This window comes from Homo sapiens, chromosome 18 (assembly GCF_000001405.40).
Source record: "Homo sapiens chromosome 18, GRCh38.p14 Primary Assembly".
Lineage (NCBI taxonomy): Eukaryota > Metazoa > Chordata > Mammalia > Primates > Hominidae > Homo > Homo sapiens.
The window spans coordinates 8,812,571-8,837,149 of record NC_000018.10 but is presented as its reverse complement, the minus strand read 5'-3'; the positions used below and the strand labels follow the sequence as shown (position 1 = coordinate 8,837,149).

Sequence of the window (24,579 nt, the reverse complement as noted above, 5' to 3'; positions counted from 1 at the left end):
TGGGCTTAGTGGGTGGGGTACCTCCAGTGGCAGGCCCGGGGTTGAATGAGACACGGGCAGCAGGGGGGCATCTCTGGCCATGGAGGTCCCTGGTTGGCAAAGTGGCTGAGAAAAATCCTGTGTCAGATGAACCTTGATAACTTTATGCTAACTGAGGCTGGGCACAGTGGCTCACGCCTTAATCCCAGCACTTTCGGAGGCCAAGGCGGGTGGATCACGAGGTCAGGAGTTCAAGACCAGCCTGGCCAAGATGGTGAAACCCCGTCTCTACTAAAAATACAAAAAATTAGCTGGGCGTGGTGGCAGGCACCTGTAATCCCAGCTACTCAGGAGGCTGAGGCAGGGGAACCGCTTGAACTCAGAGGGCAGAGGTTGCAGTGAGCCAAGATCGCACCACTGCACTCCAGCCTGGGCAACATAGTGAGACTCCAACTCAAAAACAAAAAACAAAAAACAAAACTTTATGCTAATTGAAAGAAGCCAGACACAAAAAGCCACATGATACATGATTCCATTTACATGAACTATCCTGAATAGGCAAATCCATGGAGACAGAATTAGATGAGTGGGTGCCAGGGGCTGGGTGCAGTGACTGCTTAATGCATATGGGGTTTCCTTTCAGGTGATGACAATATTCTGTAAGTAGATAGTGGTAGTGACTGCACAACATTGTGAATATACTAAATGCCACTGAATTGTACACTTTGAAATGGCAAGAATGATAAATGTTACGGGTATTTTACCACAGTTTAAAACAGTGAACTGGAAAATAGAAAATGGTAGTTGTACTTCTTAGTTGCTTTTTAAACAAAATAAATAAGCATAACTCTATCATGCTTAATAAAGTGCAGAGATCTAATGTACAACATAAGGACTATAGCTAATAATATTGTATTTGGGATTTTTGCTAAAAGAGTAAATTTTAGGTGCTCTTGCCATAGCTATGTGAGATGTTAATATGTTAATTGCCTTGACTATAGTAGTCATTTTACTCTGTATATGCATATCAAAACATCATGTACACCTTAAATATATACAATTAAAAACAAATTAAATTTAAAAAATAAGGAGTTTGTAAACATTACATTCATTGTATAGGAACAAAAAGGGTGAAACAAATGTATTACATAAGAATTACAGGCCATTCTACAGGAAAAAAGGTTGAAGCAAATGTGTTTAAGAAATAGAATTACGATGTACACAGATATAAAAAATAGATGCATAATACTGAAAACGCTGACATGTTACCTCCTGATAAGAAGAGAGGGTGAAATGTGGCCACTATTGCCCAATTTGGCTGCAGTTGGACAAGAAATGTCTCTGGGCTGGTGGTGCTGGCTGTTACCCAGGAGGCAGGGCACGCCTGACGTGTGGTCTGTGGCTATGTTTGAGGAATCTTCTGCTGCTTTCTTTAGGGCATAAAAGCAACTGGCACATTCATGGCAGCTCATGAAGCCATTCCCTTCAGGCAGCTGCTCCCCTTTCACACCATGTGTGACCCACATAGCAGCCTTGGCATTCATCTGGACAGTGGTGTGGAAAATGATTTCATCCTACTGTCTTGCCTGGCCTTTAACAGTTGGAGTGCTTCCACCCTAGACTTAAGAATACACATGTCCAACTTTTAGAAAATAAGATGTGAGAAGAAGTTCCCAGACGGCTTTTCAAGGCACTGGTGCTGCCAGATGTGGCTTTTTTGATGAAAGTTCTGCTCCCAGCCTGGTTTCTGCATCACTGCCCAATGCGACCTGTGTCTATTACTGCCCCTCACACCTCTGCTCCTCCCACCTCCCACTTGCTTCTCCTCCTGCACATTGGAATGCTTCCCGTACTGCCAAGCCTAACTCAAGCCCTACTGTACTTAGAATTTCTACCACACCATTTTTCATTTTATTGTTATTGTGCCTGGGAATGTTATCTCTTCCAACCAGTTGGCAAGTTCTGTGGTGCTCAGAGCTTTTTCCTTGCAATTTTGGGGTGTCCCACAGTGGTATACGCCTTTACTGCCTTTCTGACGCCCTCTATTCTAATCGTACCCTGCTTTTCCTTTGCTGGGTCTTCCCGTCACCACGATTGGCTCAGAGCCAGACATGAGACTTAATCCCTACCAAATGAGAATCATCGGTCCTGGGCTTTCACTGGAGCTCCTGGTAAGAGATCCCCTTTCTCTAGGAGTTGCTAAACTAATAGCAGCAGCTAGGGACCATTGTTGCCAATTTTTGTGATGCTTGTCTGAGTATAAAGCCATACAGAGTAGACAGAGTTAGGAGACTGAGCAAAGTCCTGATGGCACGGTTTGAGGCTCTCAGTCGTGACAGCCACAACTTCCCTTCTTGTTGGTGGCTGGTTGCTTCCAATTGAAGGAATACCAATGTACCTCTCAGCATTTGCAATCTGCACAGAATAGGCAATGAATATTTACTGACCTGCTGATTGTTTGTTTGCAGGTATATCTAGAGTGATAAAGTGAAATATTTATATTTTGCATTTATTGGAAGTTTTTATTGGCCAGGCACGGTGGCTTATGCCTGTAATCCCCGCACTTTGGGAGGCCGAGGCAGACAGATCCTCTGAGGTCGGGAGTTCGAGACCAGCCTGACCAACATGGAGAAACCCCATCTCTACTAAAAATACAAAATTAGCTGGGCGTGGTGGCACATGCCTGTAATCCCAGCTACTTGGGAGGCTGAGGCAGGAGAATCTCTTGAACCCAGAAGGCGGAGGTTGTGGTGAACTGAGATCACGCCATTGCACTCCAGTTGGGGCAACAAGAACGAAACTCCATCTCAAAAAAAAGTTTTTAAGCTGGGCATGGTGGCTCACGCCTGTAATCCCAGCACTTTGGGAGGCGGAGGCAGGTGGATCACGAGGTCAGGAGATCAAGACTATCCTGGCTAACAGAGTGAAACCCCGTCTCTACTAAAAAAAAAAAAATACAAAAAATTAGCTGGGCGTGGTGGCTGGCGCCTGTAGTCCCAGCTACTCGGGAGGCTGAGGCAGGAGAATGGCGTGAACCCGGGAGGCGGAGCTTGCAGTGAGCCGAGATGGCGCCACTGCACTCCAGCCTGGGCAACAGAGTGAGACTCCACCTCAAAAAAAAAAAAAAGTTTTTATTGTGGTAAAATCTATAGGCCATTTATCATTTTAACCATTTTTAAGTGTACAACTCAGTGGCATCAAGTATATTCACTGTGCACCATCACCACTGCCCATTTCCAGGACTCTTTCATCATCCTGAACTGACACTGTGTACCCATTACACACCAATTCCCCATTCCCTCCTCAACCCTTGATAACCACTGTTTTCCTTTCTCTCTTTGACTCTGACTACTCTTGATATATAAACGAGATACATGGAACCAAACAATAATTGCCATTTTGTGGTTGGCTTATTTCACTTAGAATAATGTCCTCAAGGTTCATCCATGTTGTAGTACGTCAGAATTTACCTTTTTTAGGGCTGAATAGTATCCCTTTATATGTATATACCACATTTTGTTGATCCATTCATCTGTCAATGGACAACTGAAGTGTTTCCACCTTTTGGCTATTATGAATAATGCTGCTATGAACATAGGTGTGCAAACACCTGTTTGAGTCCCTACTTTTGGTCCTTTTGGGTGTATACCCAGAAGTGGAATCCCTGGATCCTATGGTAATTTTATGTTTAACTTTTTGAGGAAGTCATACTGTCTTCCACAGCAGCTGGGCCATTTTACTTTCCCACCAACAGTGCTCAAGGGTTCCAATTTCTCCACATCCTTGCCAACACTTGTTGGTTTTTATTTTTTGAAAATATTTCAGTTTAAGGATGAAGCTGTGGTAATGCTAGGATAGCCTATTACATTAGCAGCTCATCTATATAAGAAGAAAATTGTTGGGTTAATGAAGCACTAAATGAAATACTAAAGCCAGAAGCTTCAGCCTGAAATCATTCTTTTTGGGCTCTTCAGTAGCATCACTTCTTTCTACTCCACCAAACACTGAGAGGCGGGCTCATCTCAGGATCAGAGATGGAAAGGCCTCTTCTAGAGTTATTGGCCACTCCCTCTCTCCTAATGAGCAGAGCGGGCAGAGAGGCCGGGCACACTCTGACTTGTAGGTAACCAGTTTCCTCACATCCCTGCCCACACCACAGTTTTGGCTTTTCAACAATAAAGCTGTCTCTCTATCCTAGGACTCTCTTACGGGGAACAGTAAAACTGCAACATGATCACGTACCCAAAGAGTGCATTCCCAGCAAGATATATTAGCAGCTGTTGCCTCTTTACATGATCTCCTCTCTCCCTCATTCCCCTAGCTATGGAAAACTTTCCATCTGAGTCCTTAGGAAAAGATGGAGGGTGTGTGAAATGAGAGACCGAGACATGCTGCCATCTCAGAAGGGCTTTATTTCTACTTCATCACGGTCTCATACAGACCCAGAGGCATCATCATGTGTTTCCATTTGGTATCCTTGTGACTTTTTGTAGTGTTTTCCCTTAAGAAAACTTTGAGTAAACTCTGTACATTGCCAGTTAATCTTTTCACAATAATTTAAAAATGGTGTTGCTGTTGGATCATCGATGCAAGAAGACCAACAATAAAAGTACAGTACAAGGAAATTCACAACATATTACAGTGGAACAGACTGAGTCACATTTAGGTGATGGCGAGGACACAGTAGCGGTATATACATGCACCCGAAGACGTGCAAGCCAAGTAGGATAATATAAGGATCATACAGTGAATTTTCTAAGCCCACTGAGGACTTTGTACCTTTTCAAAATCATCCTGTATCCCCTCCAGCATACAGAATATCTGTCTTGTCTACTGGCTTCATGGCTTTTTCACTACAAAAAGTTCACTGAATCAGACAGTCTGAAGCATTAAAAAATTCGTAAAAAACAGTAACACTGACAAAATAAAATTAACTTAATCCACTCTAATTCAACATGGAAATAAACTGAACCAAAATGTAACAGTGCAAATTTAACAGAGGCAGTCAGGTATTGACAGCGAGGGTGTTCAGAATCTCTTAAAATGTACATTTTTTAAAACTTTTATTTTTTAAATCTATTTATACCTTATTTACCTTTTCGTTTAATATACTGTGTGTAAAAAAGATGGAGACAAAAATAGTTTTCTGAGCTATGAAAAAAATTAAGTTATTACAGGCACATTTACTGTTTCATTCTAGAAACATCTCAGTTTCACAGGTTGAACATTCAGCAGCTTTGTGTTTTTAAAAAACATTCTTTGACCTTGAGAAAACTAGATCTCTCCTGTTGGGCAGAGTTTTGTTCATGGTGATGGTGTGGTTATGCAAATTACAGTGAATTATACTGTGATAATCCATGCAAGCTTGCATCTCGGTGTGGCTGCTCCTCGGGCGGCTCCTCGCCACCATGCTCCTCCAAGGACGTCGGGTCTCCGGGTGACTGAGGCTGTGAGGCAGTGGGGGAATGTGGGGCCCAACGGGACGGAGGGCGACGGTTTGCTGGTCTCTCGGGCCTGGAGAAGCAGGGCTCTAGGGATGGAGCTAGTGCAGAACAAGGTAGTTCCTTCAGAGCCGAGAAAGGGAGACAGGGTTACTCAGACCGGCAGTGTCACCAGTGGATGATTCCCCCAAACACACTTCTCAACAGACTCAAGTGAGATGAAGTATACACCACAGGCAACTCGTGAATATTAACTACTTTCTATGCTCATGCAGAATAACTTAAAATAATAAAGAATTCAACACAAATGATCAGTGACATGAATGGGAAGAGACCAATTATGATTAAACACAGCAATACTGTGAGATGAGTCAGCTTGCAAAGCTCCTTTAGAATTGGGCTGGGGTATACAGAAGGCATGACACAGTGACTGTGGCAGCGGTCTCCACAGGCCACTTCATCATATTCCTATCTGGTAGATCTGTTCATTTGGCCCTTTTGTATGATCTATTTAGCTACAGTGGACAAGTGAACTGGTCCTACAGGGCCTGGATCTACTGGGAGCCCACAAAGAGACCTCTGATTTCATTCAGCTGTGTTAGCAATGGCAGTCGTCTTAAACGAACTCTGCTACTGTTTATTTGAAATTGACTGGGAGTAGCTTAAACAAACTCCCACAACATGGCAAAAATGCTGCAGGCAGAAATTTTAATTTGGGTCTGGTTTTCTTTAATGACTGTTCAATTGCAGCAGCATTTTAAAAAGGTAGAATCAGAATGTACTGGTGGTTTTGTGTTTCAGGCATCCTAATGTTCTGCGAGCAGGTGATGCAAGACACACTCAACCATGTGCAAATCACCTAGAATCCTTATTCTCAAGCTACTTTGTTTTTAAAGAATGTTGAGCTCCTTGTCCTTACATGTTACAAAACCAGGACACCCAAATTTGGAATTTGCTGATACACAGAAATGTAAAAAGCTGTGGCATGAGAAAACTGAGTTGCCCAGCATGGAGCCCGCTGGCTGGAATGACACTCAGACACTGGAAGCTTGAGGTGAACTGAATGGAAGGCACAGGAAGGATGACAGAGAACAAGGACCCTCAAAGAAAGGAAGTGAGTTGGAGGATTTAAAAAGATGTGACAAGCAACTGAAAAGACCAGGATGAGGACAGCCCAGCCAGTGGTGCAGGGGAGCAGCAGCGGGGGAAGGACAGACGGCTGCACGGAATGGGCAGTGTCACTCGGGAGAAGATGGAACACGGCAGAGACAGCATGGCCCGAGGACAGCGTGGGAGCCACAGGCTTCCAGAAGAGCAATGGGGCGAGCGGTTTCCCTGCCTCCCTCTGGGGTCAGCAGAAAAGGAACAGTGGCCCTGGAGACTATGCTTCATGCTCCCTGCTGCTTTTGTGGCTGGAACTTCATACGGCCACAGGGAGAAGCTTCTGTTCCCAAAGCATTATGCTAACAGTACCGTGACAACCAGAAATACCTCTCCAGTTAAAACTCCACCAGCGCCACCAGCCACCAAGATGCAGACTAACCCAAGGTGCTCCTGTGTCCTCATCTCACTGCAGCCCACAGTGCTTGACTGGGACACACGGTTTGGGAAATCTGTGTGTTTTGTGTCTGCGCTCCCCTTGTTATAGAAGTAGTGTGTGTGTTGTGTATTGTGTATCTGTTCTGTGTGTGTTGTGTGTTGGTGAAGCTGCTGTCATAGGTTTATCTGACACCACCGTATCCCGTTCCGCCTGGCTGGTGCTGAAGAGCAGGCTTTTTATGAGACCATTCAGTACCCCCTCTTTGCCAGCCTCTGCTTGTGAAGGAAGAATCACTGTGAGTCTGCATTCAAGGGAATCAACCTTTTCCTTAGTAACACACCGGCATGTACAAGCAAACGATGCTGCGCTTTCCCGAGAAGCCACTGTGGTCGCTGCATGGCATGGTGTCCTGGGATGCTGCCCCTGTAGCACGTTTCTGGGAATTGACCCTCCCTGTGTTCCCTGTCATCTTTTCATGGGGATACATCTGTTGTATTTGACAACAGATACTACTGGCTTCGAGTCAAGGCCAGTGGATGAGGTGGGTGGATGACTATATCCTTGATCAAAAAGTATATCTTTTCTCATGTGCTTTGACTCAGACTCTGAAAGCAATTCTGAGGGAAGGTCTCAAGATATTTGGAGTGGGGATGATTTTGTTGTTTATTCATTCAACAAATATTTATTGAGCATTTACTCTGTCACCCACGGTGCTCACTTGGAAGGACAAGATATATTTGGGTTCATTCCTTGTGGTATGGTTGTTGAAAAATGAAAAACAAAAGCCTTATCACATTAGGGTCACACCTCATTTCAGCACATGCCAGTGCACGTATAACCAAAATGTTGACCAGTCCTGGGTGGCTGGGCCCAAAGACCCCCTCAGGCAAGACCCCTGTGCCTAGGATGTCCCCTCCTGGCCAGTATCTACTCAATTCTCTGAAAGCATATTGGCTGCAAATGTACAAAAGCGGAGAAATCTCAGCAGAATCTCTATAACCTAAAAACCCTTCTTTGCATTGAGTGGTCAACCCTCTAGCAGAGCAGATGAGTCTCTGGCCTTATCAATCTGTTCCTGGGTTTAGGCGAACCTCCTGGAACTTGGGGTGAGCGAGGGTACCGCCACCGGGCAGAACTCCCTCAGGTGATGAGCGTCAGGTGCCAACTGCGAGTTACACAACACGACCTCTCCAGACAGTTGGGAAACAAGGAAGGAAGCACTTACAGCGTGAGGCGGGCAGGGCTAGAGTCCCCAGGGGGCAGTTAGCAAGACAGTTTGGTTCTGGACAGAACAGACAGAGAAAGAAAAGAAAAGCAAGAAGGTTGGAAAGTGTTTTTTAAACAGGAGAACAATAAAGGTTTAAAGTCAGCAAGCCCGGAGGTAGAGGACCATCCCTCTCGCTCAGGGGTAGCCACCAGGAGAGACTTGCGGGCTCTCAGATCTAGCACATTCACTCCAAGGCAGGTGTGGGGAAGTGGCCAGGCACTAGGCACACAGGCCTGCCCTCTGCCATCTGCCCAGAGAGAAGAAGGAAACTCCATGGAGGAGTCACAGACCTCCCTCTAGTTTCTATGCTTCCGAGTCACCCTTTAGCATTTAACATTTCAAACAGCACTTTGGCAAACAGAGATATGGAAATTGCATGACTGGTATCTAAAACAGAGACTATTATACGGCTGCGTTTGTTTCGGTCACAACAGCCAAGCTACTGCCACTTACTCTAAAAAGTTCCCCTCACATTTTCCACTTAGGGGAGGGAGGAAGAGCATTCCATTTTCAGATTCTTTCTCTTCACACCGGAACTCCTCACGGCTTCTCTCTGCACTGCTGAACTAGTGCCATGGTGTCAAGAGAAAAAGAGGCCCGAGTGGCTTATGGGATGACAGTGCAGTGAGAAAGGGAGATTTCTTGTCACCTGCATCACTCCTGGGTGTGGATGCCTGAGTGAACATTCGGGGAAAGATTCCGCAACAGCGCACTGGGTGGGCTTGGAATCAGAAGTAGTCCTGGGGATTTGGGAACGCATACCGAGAACTACTGCATAATTCATGGAGCAATGGGAAGGGGTTGCAATGGCCTGAATATATTACATCAATTCAGAACAATCCCACTGGAATCTAGAACGAGGAAAATTCCAACAGAAATGGAAAAAAGAGCCCGTGGCATTTAGATGCTGCCGATGAGTGCTCCATGCCCGCTCTGAGGCCCTGCAACTGTGCTCCCTTCACATCATCTCTTTTGGTGGCAAACACACCAAGTGAAGAGAAAATCTAAATGAATACTTTACGGAGGACAAAAGGGGTTGGGCGCCACTTTGTACTGATAAAACCGTTTTCATGCCATAATGCTGGGATTCCATCAAGAACCTATTTTTGCTTGCAGGATTCACTATTCGTAATTCAAAGCATTTTTTTGGTTCTTAAAGAATAATTTCTATTTGGTGTGTAATATAAACAGACAATACAGACACAGCCGGTTAATGCTTTGTGACATAGCCCCAATTTCAACTGAGATTCAGAGCCCTAAGAAGGCAGGGCACTCACATATAAACAGACCGTTCCACGGCAGGAGGACTTACCTGAGGACCCCAGAAGGATGGGGTAACAGTAGCCCAAAGAAGACACCATTTGTCACCTGAGAACATTCAACCAGCAGTTTGTCCTCAGAGCATGCAAACAACTTTATCACAAAGACTCAGATCTTGGAACATGTAGGCCATGTAGTATCAATATTTGTATTAGGTGTGAACCATATGGAATTGCCACTTCTGTAAGCCATTGGCAGTTCCACAGGTCTGACCTATTCAGATTTCAAGCCTGCATTCTGAGTTAAACATTCATTGGTGGGCCAGGCTGGGAAGACAGCCATCATTTACCCTCTTGTGGGAAACGTGGGCCAGGTGAAACAGGCAATACACCTTCCTCCTCTCCCTGCCCATGAAGCCAGGGCTGCTTGGGTCCTGGCGAGGAAGCAGCGGGCAGACCAGGAGCAAGCTGCCGTCCTCCTCCTCCTCTGACCCCCGCCATCTGCGGGAGCAGCCTGGCTCGGAGAGTGCTCATGGGGCCAGGTGTTCCCAGTGTGAAGCCTGTTCATCCGGACTCCTGGCGAGTTGGAATCACTCGCTGGACAGACACGTCCTCTCTGTGCTGCACGAACCACAAAGTGGCATCACCATAGCCATCACCACCAGCATCAACATCAGGCTTTCATTTTGCTCATTGTTGAAGTGGAAATGGGAAGCGTTTTGTAAAGTGGTGTACAAAAACACCACATGTGGATGTGCATCAGAACCCAATTCACAGTGGATTGATTTGTGAGTAATATCAAGGGCAATAATGATAATCATATTGTATTAGGGTAGGATTTTGATTTTGTCTATATGTTTCACTTGGTTTTACTGCTAGGGGGGCTCATGGCCACAAAGAGGGTAAGTGATTTGTGAGCTGCCAGATGGCTGTTTTGTAAGGAAGCCAGCCCAGGAATCGAGATCTTGTGGCTCCTGATGAGAAGTGCTCGTGCTCATGTGGTCCAGACCCTCTCCAGCTCACCTCATGCTGTCACATATGAAGGTCTGCAGTATGCAGCAAGCCTGACACAACTATCCCATAGTTTGTACATGTGCACGAATTCACACAGAAAGAAGGCAAACTGACCCCAAATAAAATGCCCTGATAAATAAGGATCAATCACTTAAGACTGGTGACAGAACCCAAATCAAACCATGTACTATATGATTTCCCAAGGACAATAAAATAACATTTTCTTCAAAAAAGTTGCTCAGGGCTTTTTCTGCCTATTCTATTCTCCCATAAACCTAACACCTCCCCAGCTCCCAATAACCAATCATGGACGATTCCTGAGATCAAATGACAGAGCACAATCCCAAGTCCCAACCTGCCCCACAGCTAAAGGGAAGAGCTGGTGGGGAAGGGTGTGGGGCACTCAGCATTCATTACCTCCATGGGCCCTGGCTCGGCTGTGTCCCCCAGCGAGTGGCTGTCACTGTGGAGACCCGGGGGCCCGTGGGCAGCCTGCCTCCTCTCCTCCTTTAAGGCATGTTCCAGCAGCTTCTTGTTGAGGATCCGGGCCACGTTCTCAGTGAGCGTGTAGCCAGGGGGAGCAGATAAGTCCTGCTTCACTGGCGTGCCCTCTCCCCCTTCCTCCCTGCACATCTCTGACCCCACCCCAATGGGGCTAGGCGACCTTCCTCGGGAATTGGTGCCTGTTTCCTGGCCTGGGCCCAGCTCTGGTCGGGGCTCTGCTGAGCGAGACCGACTGCCGGCCCGCAGCCCCTTCTGGAAGGGGTCCTGCACCACGGGGCTGTGGTCAATGATGTTGAAGAGGCTGGAGAGGCCATCATTAATGGTGGTGTGCACGGGGCTCTCCCTTGTGGTGGTGGAGCGGGCCCAGGCTGACTCACTGTACCCTTTCTGGGCCATCCCTGGTGACGTCCTGTTATTTGGCTGGTCGGCTTTGGGGAGGGGCTTCCTCTGCAGCTTGGGAGAACCATACTTGGGGGAGCAGCATGTGCGTTCAAACTTGGCCTGCACCTTCTCGATGGCAGGGGCCACCTGTCTGCTCCTAAGGCTCCGGGAAGGAGACGACACGGGTGTAGCACCGCCCCCAGCCTTTGGAGTGAGACACTTGTGGGGGCTGCTGGTGACACCGCTGCCACGCAGGGCTTCAGTCTGCAAGCCCACACTGATGGTCTGAACAGTCTGGGTCCCCATCGTCCGGGACCCATTGGTCTGGCAGGCCATGTCCTTGACTTGCAGCTCGCCAGGGCCGGAGCAGATGGCATTCCTGACAGAGAAGGCCACCTCCTTCATGTCATCACTCAAGTTCTTGGACATCTCCAGGCTGTGCAGTGGGGAGGCAAACCCCAGGGAGGTACAGAGGGGACTATCAAGGGGGCGCCGTGCCCCCTCCACATAGTCCCGGGAGTGCCTGGGGGAGGTGCAAGGCCACCTGCTGAGCATGGGTTCTGGAGGGCCTCCCTTGGTGTCTCCCGGGCTCCCTCTGGCTCTGCTTGTGGGAAAGGGACCCTCACCACCTGCCGCCGTGATGCTGTCGACCCTGCGCACGGCAGGCGGGCTGTGTAACACGCGCAACCCCGACTGCTCGGTGAGGACGTGGCTCCGCAGTGGCTGCTTCTGGCAGTGCTCTGGGCTGGTCATGGTGTCCGTGGTCATGGTGACACTTGTGGTTAGGTACCAGGAGGAGTCGGGGAAAGGCTCTGTGCTGTCCTCGTGCCCTGCCCGCCCCACCTCGGTCCTGTCGGCCCAAAGGTCCGGCCCCCCACCATTGTGGCCCCTGTTGGGTGTGTAGTCCCAGCTCTTGTTGAACTCCTCGATGTACTTGAGGTCGTCTGGAGACAGGGGTGGGGTGACATCCTCCTTGCTGCTGGTGGACGGCAGGCCCTTCTCAGGCAGGAAGGGGGAGATGTCCATTAGACGCTGGAACTCAGACATGGAGGACACGGACACCGCCCTGGGAAAAGCAGAAAAGAGGGTGTCAGTACCTGCCAGGGAGCCTCTGACACACCACAACACCCATGTCCTGCCCTGCATGAGAAGTGTCAGTGAAGGCACCCGCTGCCACCCACACCAGGAGAACACTGTCAGCTGCTCATGTGCTGCACTCACAGACTTACCCTGCGGGCATTTATTGGACTCTGCGTGGCTCTGGAATTGTTCCTGAAGCCTTGCATTGGTCAGAATTTAATACAACCAACTCTGGCTCACACCCGTAATCCCAACACTTTGGGAGGCCAAGACAGGAGAATCACTTGAGGCCTCAGTGCCTCAGTGAGAATTCTCAGGAGACTCACTCGGACCACAGCTGAAGGGTGAAGACGGTGAGCCACGGCGATGGCCAGGTTTTGGCAAGCTGCCACCTGATGGACACAGATTTGGTGTGGATTCTTCCATGTGTTAGCACTTTCAATTTGCCATGAGTTCGCTGAATGCCTCTCACATGCCTGGCAGGTGCTGCAGGGGTGCCAGCAATGCTTCCAGGCTAAGACAGAAAGTGGCCGGAGTGCTCGGGCACGACTACCACCAGGGCAAAGAAGTGGTGGTCAGGAACGGGGCTGGGGCTGCCTGTGCCTGCTGGCTCAGGCAACAGAACCTCTTTGGCCTGGAATCCCTCCAGCTGGGGTGGGATGGGGCGATGAGGTGTCTGTAGACTCACTGTCCAGATTCTTACAGGACATACTGATACTCCTTTCACCCCACAAAGCACAGGCTTAAACCTAGGGATCTAGACTAGTGCAGGCCCTGTGGAAGGGGTCCCAGATTGAGTGTATGGACCACTCCTCCATAGGACCTATTAATGATGATGAGGCCAGAATTGGGGTCTGCTCTGAGCAAGTCCCTGTACCGTGTGCGCTGGTACACAGAACCAGCAAAGCTCTGGGCAGCTTTGCTGACAGCTGGCTTCACCTTGGGGGCAAGGCACCCGTCCATGTGGTCAGCACCACGGGGTAAAACAGCAGGCTAAAAGTGACATCGTTAGGCATTCCATCTTGTTATCTTTTTGTTGTTAGAAATAATCTACAAACTGTCCAGTGGTGCTTTGAATAACCACAAGCTGGCTATATCCAGTGCCGGAAAGGAAGGGCAATGGTAGGGATGGGTTGATTTGTCCCAAGGTCATGAGCTTTCCAGCAAGTATGAATTTCCCTCTTCTCAATTCAAGGAGTTGCTGAATTAATGATGAGTTTCAGAACACTGTTCGCTGGGGACTGTAAGTGCCGGACACATGCCAACACCCTGGTCCTTTCCACATTTCTGTGGACATAGCTCATCTAACTCCCACTTTTGCCCACAGAGGAACTGTCTCAGAGTTAAATCAGTGGCACCTACCTGGGTGGGAACTCAGTGCCTCTGGGGCATGGATGGATATGGTGGAACAGAGATGATAAAGACAGAGAAAGCAGAGGCATTAACCTCAGCAGTGGCCAAAGCAAACAAAACCATGATGAGAAAACCCGGGATACATCTGGAGCATGTGTAGGCGCTTGCAGGTGGAACGAAGAGAGTATGGTGGAAACATACCGGGCAGTCAGAATCAGAGGACATGGGGACAGTGGGGAGGGCGCATCCAGTTTCCACTTTGGATATTTTGAGACTATCTATCTATCTATCTATCTTTTTTTTTTTTTGAGACGGAGTCTTACTCTGTCGCCCAGGATGTAGTGCAGTGGCGCAATCTCGGTTCACTGCAACCTCCGCCTCCCGGGTTCGGTCAATTTTCCTGCCTCAGCCAATATTTACATTTTATAACAAGCATGTGTTACTTTTGAAAGCATAAAAGTTGATGGCTTGAGTGGTGAAGTACAGTTGCTCCAAAGCCTAACCGGAAACACTGATGTGGCTGCTGCTGTGAACGGGGAAGGTGGGAGGGTGTAATGACTAAACTCTGTTTACTGTTTGTTTTGTGCCATGTGCTGCTTTCATTATGTGTATTAACATACATAAGCTGCAAAAAAAAAAGATAATCAAAATACGTCCTGTATACAGATGAGGAAACTGAGGCACAAAGCAGTTGAGTAACCTACCCAAGGAGGCAGAAGCGATTCAAACCCAGGCAGTTTGGGCTGGGCACAGTGGCTCACGCCTGTAATCCCAGCACTTCGGGAGGCTGAGGCGGGTGGATCACCTGAGGTCAGGAATTCGAGACCAGCCTGGCCAACATGGCGAAACTCTGTTTCTATTAAAAGACAAAAATTAGCCGGGTATGGTGGGGTTTGCCTGTAATCCCAGCTACTTGGGAGGCTGATGCAGAATTGCTTGAACCCAGGGGGCAGAGGTTGCAGTGAGCCAAGATTGTGCCACTGTACTCCAGCCTGGGAGACAGAGCGAGACTCCATTTCAAAAATCAACCAACCAACCAACCAACCAACCAACCCAGGCAGTTTGGCTCTAGAGCCTGAGCTCTCAAGTACTGTCCTGTACCACCCAAGAAAGACCAGAGAAGACAGCGTGAAGGACAGAAGTGTGCCACAGGCATGGCTAGGTGCTGCAGAGATCTGGCAGGGAGCAAATGGGAAGAGGACAGTCATTCACAGACTCGAAGTTCAGAGGAAAATCAAGGATGAGGCGATCTGGAAATGCTGAATTGCCTGAGAAGAAATTTCATGTAGTAGAAACGGTATGTATTCATTTGGAGAATGATGAAAAAGTAAAACTGGAGGAAATTAAACTGGGGAGGAAAAAACTGGTGTGTAACTAACAACCACATCAACCACTATATATCTTCTTCAAGGACTACTGCCAGAAAATATTTTAATAAATTCTCTTAGTGGAGCTTTTAAATACAGTGTATAAAGCATCTCACAGCATACAAAAGAGAGTTTTCCCAGACTTTAAATGAGAAAAGAGAGGTTTCCATGGACCTTTCAAAAACCACTCAACACAAGCATTCCTTTGTATACATAACACAACAACAACTGGAAAGTCCTTACCATAAAACTCATACACATGTGACACAGCACGTCTAACTTCTTTGTTAATAATCAAAAATACCATGTTTATGAAATGAATAATAAAGCAGCCACTTCTTCAGAAGTGGCATAATTTTAAGTCATTTTGAAGAGAGTGGTAAAATAGACTGCATTGACAAAACAACATTTTAAGACCAAGACATTTTTATTCTAGTAATCTATTATTTTCATCAATCTTACTTACCTTTGAAGATTTCCTTTGTGATTTTCTTCTTCCTATAAAGAAGAAATAACTTCATCTGAATCGGTTAATTTTGGTTGTCCAGAAGCCCTGAATGTACTTAAGTGATTTGTTTGCTCTGCACCCCCAGGAAACCACCATTTAAAATGTGCACTGAGGCCAAGCTCTGGTTAGGAGTGCTACTGCCCTGAGGCCTTTAAAGTACAATCATCAAAGCGAGTCCACAGCATGATGAGGGGCTGGAGCTTCTGTAGTCCAGGGAGAAGCCCACATGAGTGAGAACAACTGGCTATAAACTTTGTCATGGAGGAGGTGGCTCTTCTGTGCTTCCTCAAAGGACCTCACTGACTACATGAATTTCAAAGCGGGATTTGTAACAACCTAAGTGTGAGAGTGAGACTGAGAGAGAGAGAGAGAGTGTGCATGTGTTATGTTAGAGAGAAAGATGGAAGGTGATAGAGTAACGTTAGTGGTCCCGATCTTGCTGTAGAAGTTGGCGTGACATCCTTAGACTCGGGCACTTGGTTGGTTTTAAACATTCCCATTTAGAATCAGAGGCAAAGTACAGTGCCTTCCCCTTTAAGAAGAATGATAGCTGTGTTTGTAGAGAACGGCATAAACACGAGGTTGTCTGCTGAGAAAACACTCTTGTGCTGATGTGGTTTTGAAGCAGCAAGACTCTGACTAACAGTAAGGGAAGCATATTTTTCAAGACAGTAAATAGCAAGGGGTACCCTTCCCCTTAATGAGCATGCCCCTTGTCTCTGCCATGCAGGGTCCAGTGGGCTGGAACCCACGCACAGGCTCCTGACCCCACCCCACGTTACCTCTACTATGTAATCGGACTGTATAAGATTGCCAATAGATCAGACAGGGTGGGACTGTGGCAATGTCCTATCAACCTGGTACACATTGCTGAGGATAAGGCATTTGACCTTACTGATGTGGGTGAAATATAATTTCTGCATACTTCAATAACACTATTTGATATGAACTCTTCTAAGTCTTGAGTGTTTAGGAGACCAAATGATAGGTGCAGCAACTGTTGAACTGCTTCACAGGTAATGAGTCCTAGAATCAACTTTTTTTTTTTGGATGGAGTCTTGCTCTGTCGCCCAGGCTGGAGTGCAGTGGCGCGATCTTGGCTCACTACAAGCTCCGCCTCCTGGGTTCACGCCATTCTCCTGCCTCAGTCTCCCAAGTAGCTGGGACTACAGGCACCCGCCACCACGCCTGGCTAATTTTTTTGTATTTTTAGTAGAGACAGGGTTTCACCGTGTTAGCCAGGATGGTCTCGATCTCCTGACCTCGTGATCCGCCCACCTCGGCCTCCCAAAGTGCTGGGATTACAGGCATGAGCCACCACATCCGGCCCTAGAACAACTTTTAAAACAAGGTTTTAAAAATATTAAAACCAGAAAAACATAACTAACGCTGTGCCATGGAAATGTCTACAGCTTAGCTCACCCATTTGGTGGTCTAATTTATGTAAGGTTTCTAAGTGTTGGATTTTTTTCCCTTTGCCCAGAATATTTTTGGTTATTAGTTTTCTAGACTCAGAAGACTGTACTATTATTTCAAGAAAAGTTGAGGCTGGGTGTGGTAGCTCATACCTGTAATCCCGGCACTTTGGGAAGCCAAGGCAGACAGATCACTTGAGCCCAGGAGTTCGAGACCAGCTTGGGCAACATAGGGAGACCCTGTCTCTACTTAAAAAATAAAACAAAATAAATTAGCCAGGCATGGTAGCATGTGCCTGTGGTCCCAGCTACTCAGGAGGCTGAGGGGGAAGGATCAATTGAGCCTAGGAGGTCACGGCTGTGGTGAGTCGTTATCAGACACTCCACTCCACCCTGGGCAAGAGAGTGAGACCTCCATCTCCAAAAAAATCAAAAGAAAAAAGAAAAAGTTGAGCATATACACTTCCCAGAATTATTTACTTCCTCTTGTGTGTTTTATGGGACACACTTATTTGTGAGACCTTCCTTTTGTATAGGACTCTAGTCCAGTATTTCTAAACCTGAAACAAGGGGGCAAAGTTAAACTGACAGCAGAGCATGCTAATTTAGGGTGAAGCAAAACCCTTGGTGTTGTGAAGATTTCATTTTTACTCAATTCGGAGGTTGCTGTATGCAAAAGTGCTAGAGCCTGCCAGGAGAGGAATCTGGCAGATGCCTCTTAGGTTTCATGACGGCTCCCTCATTCCACAGTGGTTAACTAGGATGGACAAAACCTGGCTGACCTCAGGGAGGCGGTTCCTGAACTCCCTCTCGGGCCTGTGGGCTGGTGGCTCTTCTGGCTCGTCATCCAGGGACAAGGCATCCAGGTAGAGATTCTCACTGGCCGAGCACCTGTCCGACTCCTTCAGCTTGGACAGCGGCCGGTCTTCAAACGGGATGGAGTCAGCATCTGCACAAGGCCACATGGCCACTGGACGGGGCATGCGGAGGCTTCCCTGGTGGGGAAAGGGGCGAACGTTGCCGTCTTTTTGATCACAGAGGAAACTGCCACCTCTCCGGGGACTGTTCTCTTTCTGCAACTTGAGAATTTTAAAAATGAAAATAATTAGCCTCACTTTTCTGTCTGATGGTCTCCCTAAGAACATCGTTTCTCCACAATTTGCAATTACACATAGGTCAGTTTGAAAAATATTGTGAGAAGCAAATGTTCTTAAAGTTCTGATCTTAATTTCAAAATGTAACACAACATTACAGATGCTTTACAAAACCCACAATTTTATCTGGCCCAGAAAATCTGCATTAACCACGTACGAGTATGGTGAACTCTTTCTGACACCAATATATGTGTTATTGTACATAACTCTGAGTGTTGTGCTCATGGGAAATTTTACATTTATTACTATTTTTTAATCTAATACTGTTAAAGAACATGTTTAAAACTCTCTTTGGAACTTCCTTCAGAAGTGAAGACATACTCAGTGGAATACTATCAGTGATAGCAAACTTCTGAGTGTGAATCTGATTTTCCTAACTAGCCCCAGGGCATGTGGAACAGGTCCTATCAGTAATTCAAGTGAGCAAACTTGAGTTTGTAACCATTTGGTGTTAAACATAACTTACACTTTATTTGAGAGGATACAAACTTAGCTATAACGCAAGTAAAGATCTGGTATGACTGAGTGAAGAAAAAAAAAAAGCCACATTACGTTAGAGTCATACTTTTTTCCCTGACTTGGTTGAACTCAAGAAGCGGTAGTGGGCAAGCACAGGGCCACCTGGAGTTAGAAGACCTGAGTTGGAACCATTAACGTGTGGCTTGCTGGTTTGCAGGCAGGTGCAAGTTCCCGACTCTCCTGAGCTCAGTTTCCTTATCTGTAAGATGGGTTGTGCACGTGGGCTCACCGGAGTCATGCCGTCTAGTGGGAGCCCAGCCCACATAAGGGCATTATGCCTTTCTGGGCTGTTTTGCGGCACTAGATGGAGATTTCGTGGAGGTGGCTCAGGAAGGGAGCCCATATGAAATCACAAGGAACTGCTGAGGCAGGCAGGCAAATGGCTTGCAGGGCGCACGGCCTCCCTCCCCAGAGGAGCCCTCACCAGCTTCCACTCCATTCTTCTGATCCCTCCTCATTGCTTCCCTTTCTAAAACAGCCACAGAAAGCACAACTGAGACCTGAAGCTATTTCCGCCTATGAATCTTTAATGGTGCCTTTATTGGATGACAAGCTCACACTACTGGATTGACTGCTCTTTTGAATAAGCAAAGTATCTGAACGATGAAAGTGACATTTGGATTTGACCTGAAGGAGTGGCCAAATAATGATTTGAAGTCCTCAAGTGCTGAGACCGTTCCAGGAAATTCTAAAACCTCCTTGAATGCAGATCAATTCATTTTTTTTTAAGCATCACTACAAACTGCATCTCTGTGTCCTAATTGGAGCATTCATCCACAAGTTGGACGTAAATATGGTTTCTGTATAGTCAGGAAGAAAGCCATATGAGACAGTAAAGACAAAAGGACGTTTGCTCATTGTTAGTGATTTCTAAGGTGGCAGAACAGAGATTTATCTTTACCTTTGAGAAAGATGGAGTCTGATTCAGCCAAAGCTGACACGTTAGCATCTGAGGCAGTTCACAGTCAAATTAGGGACCCAGCAAAACCTAAAAACTCTACGTTTTAGCTTTGCCCCTCTGCTCTCTCCTCCTCCACCTCCCTGATGATGACACAGTTCTTTGCAGTTGTCTTAAAGATGCTAACTGCTTTCTTTAAAAAAAAAAAAAAAAAAAAAGGGAAGGCTTTTTATATGTTCATTTAATGCATGTCGGCACAATTTAGTTTCAACACATGATCATCTCTAAGCTATTTTGGGCAAGAAATTAAAATGCAAGAATCCCATCTGAAGCTGCAAATGTGCACTGAGGGTGTGAGTGAAGGGGGAAAAGAATGACTAAAGAGGAGGGCTATGAACAAGCACCTTCTAACTCAGTAAAGTAGGATTTCAAAAATAAACCCAGGCAGCCAGGAGCAACTTGTACTCAAGCTGCTAAGTGTTAGGTTTCCTAAAATTGAACTGGAGTGGTTGTGGTGGAGATATCTGCTGCTAAGATGCCTCTGGGGTGTTGTAATAGAACGAGTCCTCAGAGAGGGAGGGTTTCCTATAGGAGTCATTTCAGCCAGCATCAGCACCTACTTGCAATCTTGCAGTAAAACAACTTTTAATGCAAGTCGAACATTTTAAAGATTTGTATTTTAATACAGGAAACAATAAACCCTCGAGAGTGTCACCTTCCCCAGACTGGTAGAAAGAAAAAAGGCCACTTTGTAACAGGTTTTAAAAGAATGGAGTTTTTAAAAGAATGGCAGCTGATTTAAGAAAGTTACTGGAAGGAGAATGAATGGATGACCCTTTTTGCTTGACAAGTACAGCAAATATAACAGCAAGTTTTACATCATCTGCATGTTAACTGGGAACTCAACAATTCTAAGGAGAAATGTAGTGTGACTCCATAAAAGTCTCCTACCCCCACCCCGCAATCAAACTTGGATTGAGACAAGAGACGCTGATAAGAGAGATAAAATGTGTTATATGACCTTAGCCACATTCCCACAGTCATACATCACATAACATGCCTCATGTGGTGCAGAAATTATGTAGGAATTTAATGACAGCGGACAAGTATGAAGCATGTGTTCTGAAAGTGGAAAATGGATTTAGTGTTACTGCTTTCACCATCTGTATTAGGTTATCACAGTCAAGGTTATATTATATGGCTTACCAAGTAGTCAAATGTTGAGAGTATACATTGTGAAGAATGTTCAGTTACATCTCTCATTTATCTACGGAGTATGTAGCTAAAAGTTAAATGAACAAGCAACCCAATAACTGATAAATGAACAAAATCTATATACACCCATACACACTTGAACCAACATCCTCTTTTCAGGAAGTCTGGTGAATGCCTATAATTGCTTTACCTCAATTTCCGGATGGGGCACTGAGATTTAAGAAGTCTTCTTTAAAAATGTTTAATATTTTGGGGAAAAGGCCAGATTTATTTTTGAAAGCCACCATTGCATGTCTGAAGCATCAGTTCATTTGTAACCAATCCTCTTCTAAAAACAGCAATGACATCATTGTACAAAGACTGTGGGATCCATCACACAGATTTCATGAACAGATGCATGCCCGAAACTCACGTGTTTCAGATCTATGATGCTCAAAGATGTCCACCTTGAGGACTGGGTTCTGAGGCTGTCAGTTTGGCCGAACTGTTTCAATACTGATAACCTGGAATTGGAGGTCAGCTCCTGACCACTATTACCTTTCCAAAATATAGTCTCAAAATGAGGCTGTGGTTCATCTTTAAGTCACTGACTTTTCTTTTTTTTTTTTTAATGTTAATGTTTTTTTTTTTAATTATTATTATACTTTAAGTTTTAGGGTACATGTGCACAATGTGCAGGTTAGTTGCATATGTATACATGTGCCATGCTGGTGTGCTGCACCCATTAACTCGTCATTTAGCATTAGGTATAACTCCTAATGCTATCCCCCACCTCCCCGCACCCCACAACAGTCCCCAGAGTGTGATGTTCCCCTTCCTGTGTCCATGTGATCTCACTGTTCAATTCCCACCTATGAGTGAGAATATGCGGTGTTCGGTTTTTTGTCCTTGCGACAGTACTGAGAATGATGATTTCCAATTTCATCCATGTCCCTACAAAGGACATGAACTCATCCTTTTTTATGGCTGCATAGTATTCCATGGTGTATATGTGCCACATTTTCTTAATCCAGTCTACCATTGTTGGACATTTGGGTTGGTTCCAAGTCTCTGCTATTGTGAATACTGCCGCAATAAACATACGTGTGCATGTGTCTTTATAGCAGCATGATTTATAATCCTTTCGGTATATACCCAGTAATGGGATGGCTGGGTCAAATGATATTTCTAGTTCTAGATCCCTGAGGAATCGCCACACTGACTTCCACAATGGTTGAACTAGTTTACAGTCCCACCAACAGTGTAAAAGTGTTCCTATTTCTCCACATCCTCTCCAGCACCTGTTGTTTCCTGTAAGTCACTGACTTTTCGAAAGTTGAGTATCACCACATGTATCTAATTTTTCCTTTACTAGAAATTCTTCATTCCCAAAAGTAAAAATAAAAACCTAAAAGACTTGCTTAATTTATATCCAAGGTGTGACTTCCCAAAGAAATGAAGCCTGTGACAAGTCCAACAAGCCACCATGGCTAACAGGCGAAGGGCACCCTAAAGGGGGCATGGCAGGGATCATGATGGCCTCACTGGGGTACAGGAGGGATGTAAAAAGTGAGTGGCCCTAGAGCACGGGCCAAGAATGAAGCTCCCTGGTGACAAGTTGCCTGGAGTTACTGTGACACCGGTCAACTAAGTTGGATATAATAAATTAGTGGCCATTTTCAAAGAATATATGCCACTTCTATCCCTAAAATTTCCACCTAACCATAGAGCAACGACATACACAGGAGATTTAATACAGGAGACTCTTCACAAGTGCTGCATTTCCAAGCCAGAAAGGAAATGGCCAGCATTCCTCTTGATAGGATTTGGGGAATATCAAAGATTAGTAAGGTGACTCATTTGTGTAAGTGGTCAAACCTACGAAGAGTTTCAGCTTTTCTATCTGCAGTGTACTTTCCTTCTTTTGTTTTTTGGAGACGGGGTCTCGGTCTGTCGCCCAGGCTGGAATGCAGTGGGGATCATAGCTCACCTGCGGTGTATTTTATTCTTCTTAGTGGTTTCCAAGCCAAAGCCTCTTGGTCTTTCTTACCATTTAGTTCATTCTGCCTCCCGCCCTATCCAACACATGCATACACTCACCTTTGTCATTGTACCTGCGTAACACAGGCACCATGTCTATGGATAATAGAGCACATTTGTCAAAAGGCTCTATGGGTATTTAAAATAGAGTAATGAGGTTATTTTTCCTGAGCTCAATTTCTTACTGATTAATACATTTCCTTGAGACCTCATAAATTTATAAGTGTGTGACTGGCTGAAATAAACAAAATATATACTATGTAAAAATCCAGCCAGGGAAGAATTCCAAATCTTCATCAATTTAATTTGTGTATCCCTCAGGAACTACTGCAACTATGCAAACTGTTCTAAGTCTGATGCAATGCAGAGAATGGTTATATTGGCAGAAAAATGACTACCCCCCTCCTCCCCAAATTCATCTGAGTTTCTGAATTGTTTGTTTAGCTGAAGATGATGAGCTACCAGCTACCTCTCTTGACAATGGTCCATCTAATCACAGCTCAGCAATATCCACAGCAGGAACACTCACCAGCAAACAGCCTGACTTTCAACTGAATTCAGCAATTTCTTTTCTAATGACAACAATTCCATTCAAGTTGGAGCAGTCACTGTGACCACATCTTTAGTGGCAAACTTAAAAGTTATAGTTTGTTTTCAATTGAATAAGACCTGAAATAACCTCCTCTTTCCAGTTTAGTCTTTAAATTCCTTTAAAAAGTTATCCCCCCGCTCCCACAAGCCCCACCCACCCTGCTCTGCCACTACCACATGTACACATAGGAGAGTTACCTATGAACTTTGCAAAGAAAAGATCTGTGTCATGGAGAGGCATGAGCCTTGGTCTCCAACACAAGCAATTCTAGAATTTCTCTCTCTTCCTTTGGAAGCCCATGCATCCTGATGCTGCAAGGACCATGAAGCAGCCTAGTGCTTTTGCTTTCTGGGTCCACTGAGCAGTCTACACTCTGTGCCTATGCTCCAGGGCCCCGGGGTGCCTCCTTACCTGCTCTATCCTCCACAAGAATTCCTTCTTCTGCCGCTCCCACTCCTGCCGATCTCTGTCCAGGCGGTCGAGAAGTTCCACCTTCTCCCGGTTCCAGTTCTTCTCGCTGTGATGGATCTGCCAGCGCAGGTCCATGACCAGGCTGTGACTGTCTGCCAGGAGCTTCTGGTGCACCTCTCTCTCCTTCTTCAAGGCCCCCTTGCTCTCAGCGGAGGAGCCTAGTTCTCCCAACTTGTTCTCAGTCTTCTCTTCCAGCTGTCAAGGAGAAGAGACTTAGGAATTCCCTCTCTGACAAGTCTTGCATTCAAGGATGAAGTCTCAGCACATTTACATGTGATCCCTGGAAACATGTTTAAACCAAGATTTGACCAATCCCACAGTATAAACAAATTTTATTTTTAAAGTCCTAATTAAGAGCGTTTGACACAGTCACAAAGAATGTTAAGCGGTGAGTAAACTGAGCTTCCCATGGCCAGCTTCCCTGCTCCACTTTCCTAGTCTAAGTCACCACTATCTCTTGCCTGTACTTCTGTGTAACTGCTTGTGGGCAGGTACCATGTCCGTCCCTATATCCTTAGCTCCTATATGGAACCTAGGGATGGGACAGTGACAGAACCTAATAGTTTTCAATAAATATTTGTCAAATACCCAGGAGGTTAAATA

The 24,579-nt window shown here is 45.9% G+C and overlaps 1 protein-coding gene across 35 annotated transcripts in view, besides 3 other annotated features; it reads right to left on the bottom strand.

Moving 5' to 3' along the window:
- Positions 1-4,371: 4,371 nt before the first annotated feature.
- MTCL1 (microtubule crosslinking factor 1) overlaps positions 4,372-24,579 on the bottom strand; it is a 127,223-nt gene continuing 107,015 nt past the window's right edge. For 19 of the 35 annotated variants that reach the window (XM_024451110.2, XM_024451113.2, XM_024451114.2 and 16 more), the window contains 5 exons: positions 23,917-24,171; positions 17,891-18,187; positions 15,652-15,683; positions 10,918-12,451; positions 4,372-5,543 (listed from right to left, as the gene is read on the bottom strand). In XM_024451110.2, coding sequence (XP_024306878.2) covers positions 5,310-5,543; positions 10,918-12,451; positions 15,652-15,683; positions 17,891-18,187; positions 23,917-24,171 — 2,352 coding nt within the window. In that variant the 3' untranslated portion in view covers positions 4,372-5,309. Of the gene's footprint in view, positions 5,544-8,184; positions 8,243-9,539; positions 9,596-10,917; positions 12,452-12,791; positions 12,980-15,651; positions 15,684-17,890; positions 18,188-23,916; positions 24,172-24,579 lie in introns of those variants that run through there. The other 16 variants (XM_011525640.4, XM_024451117.2, XM_047437395.1 and 13 more) reach the window with 6 other exon arrangements.
- Positions 6,164-6,686: an enhancer, noted in NCBI's record as "H3K4me1 hESC enhancer chr18:8830462-8830984 (GRCh37/hg19 assembly coordinates)". NCBI's record gives its function as "activates a minimal SCP1, AML or CMV promoter by ChIP-STARR-seq in naive H9 embryonic stem cells {active_cell/tissue: H9 hESC(naive)}" and the evidence as "EXISTENCE:reporter gene assay evidence [ECO:0000049][PMID:30033119]".
- Positions 6,687-7,210: an enhancer, noted in NCBI's record as "H3K4me1 hESC enhancer chr18:8829938-8830461 (GRCh37/hg19 assembly coordinates)". NCBI's record gives its function as "activates a minimal SCP1, AML or CMV promoter by ChIP-STARR-seq in naive H9 embryonic stem cells {active_cell/tissue: H9 hESC(naive)}" and the evidence as "EXISTENCE:reporter gene assay evidence [ECO:0000049][PMID:30033119]".
- Positions 18,012-18,513: an enhancer, noted in NCBI's record as "H3K4me1 hESC enhancer chr18:8818635-8819136 (GRCh37/hg19 assembly coordinates)". NCBI's record gives its function as "activates a minimal SCP1, AML or CMV promoter by ChIP-STARR-seq in primed H9 embryonic stem cells {active_cell/tissue: H9 hESC(primed)}" and the evidence as "EXISTENCE:reporter gene assay evidence [ECO:0000049][PMID:30033119]".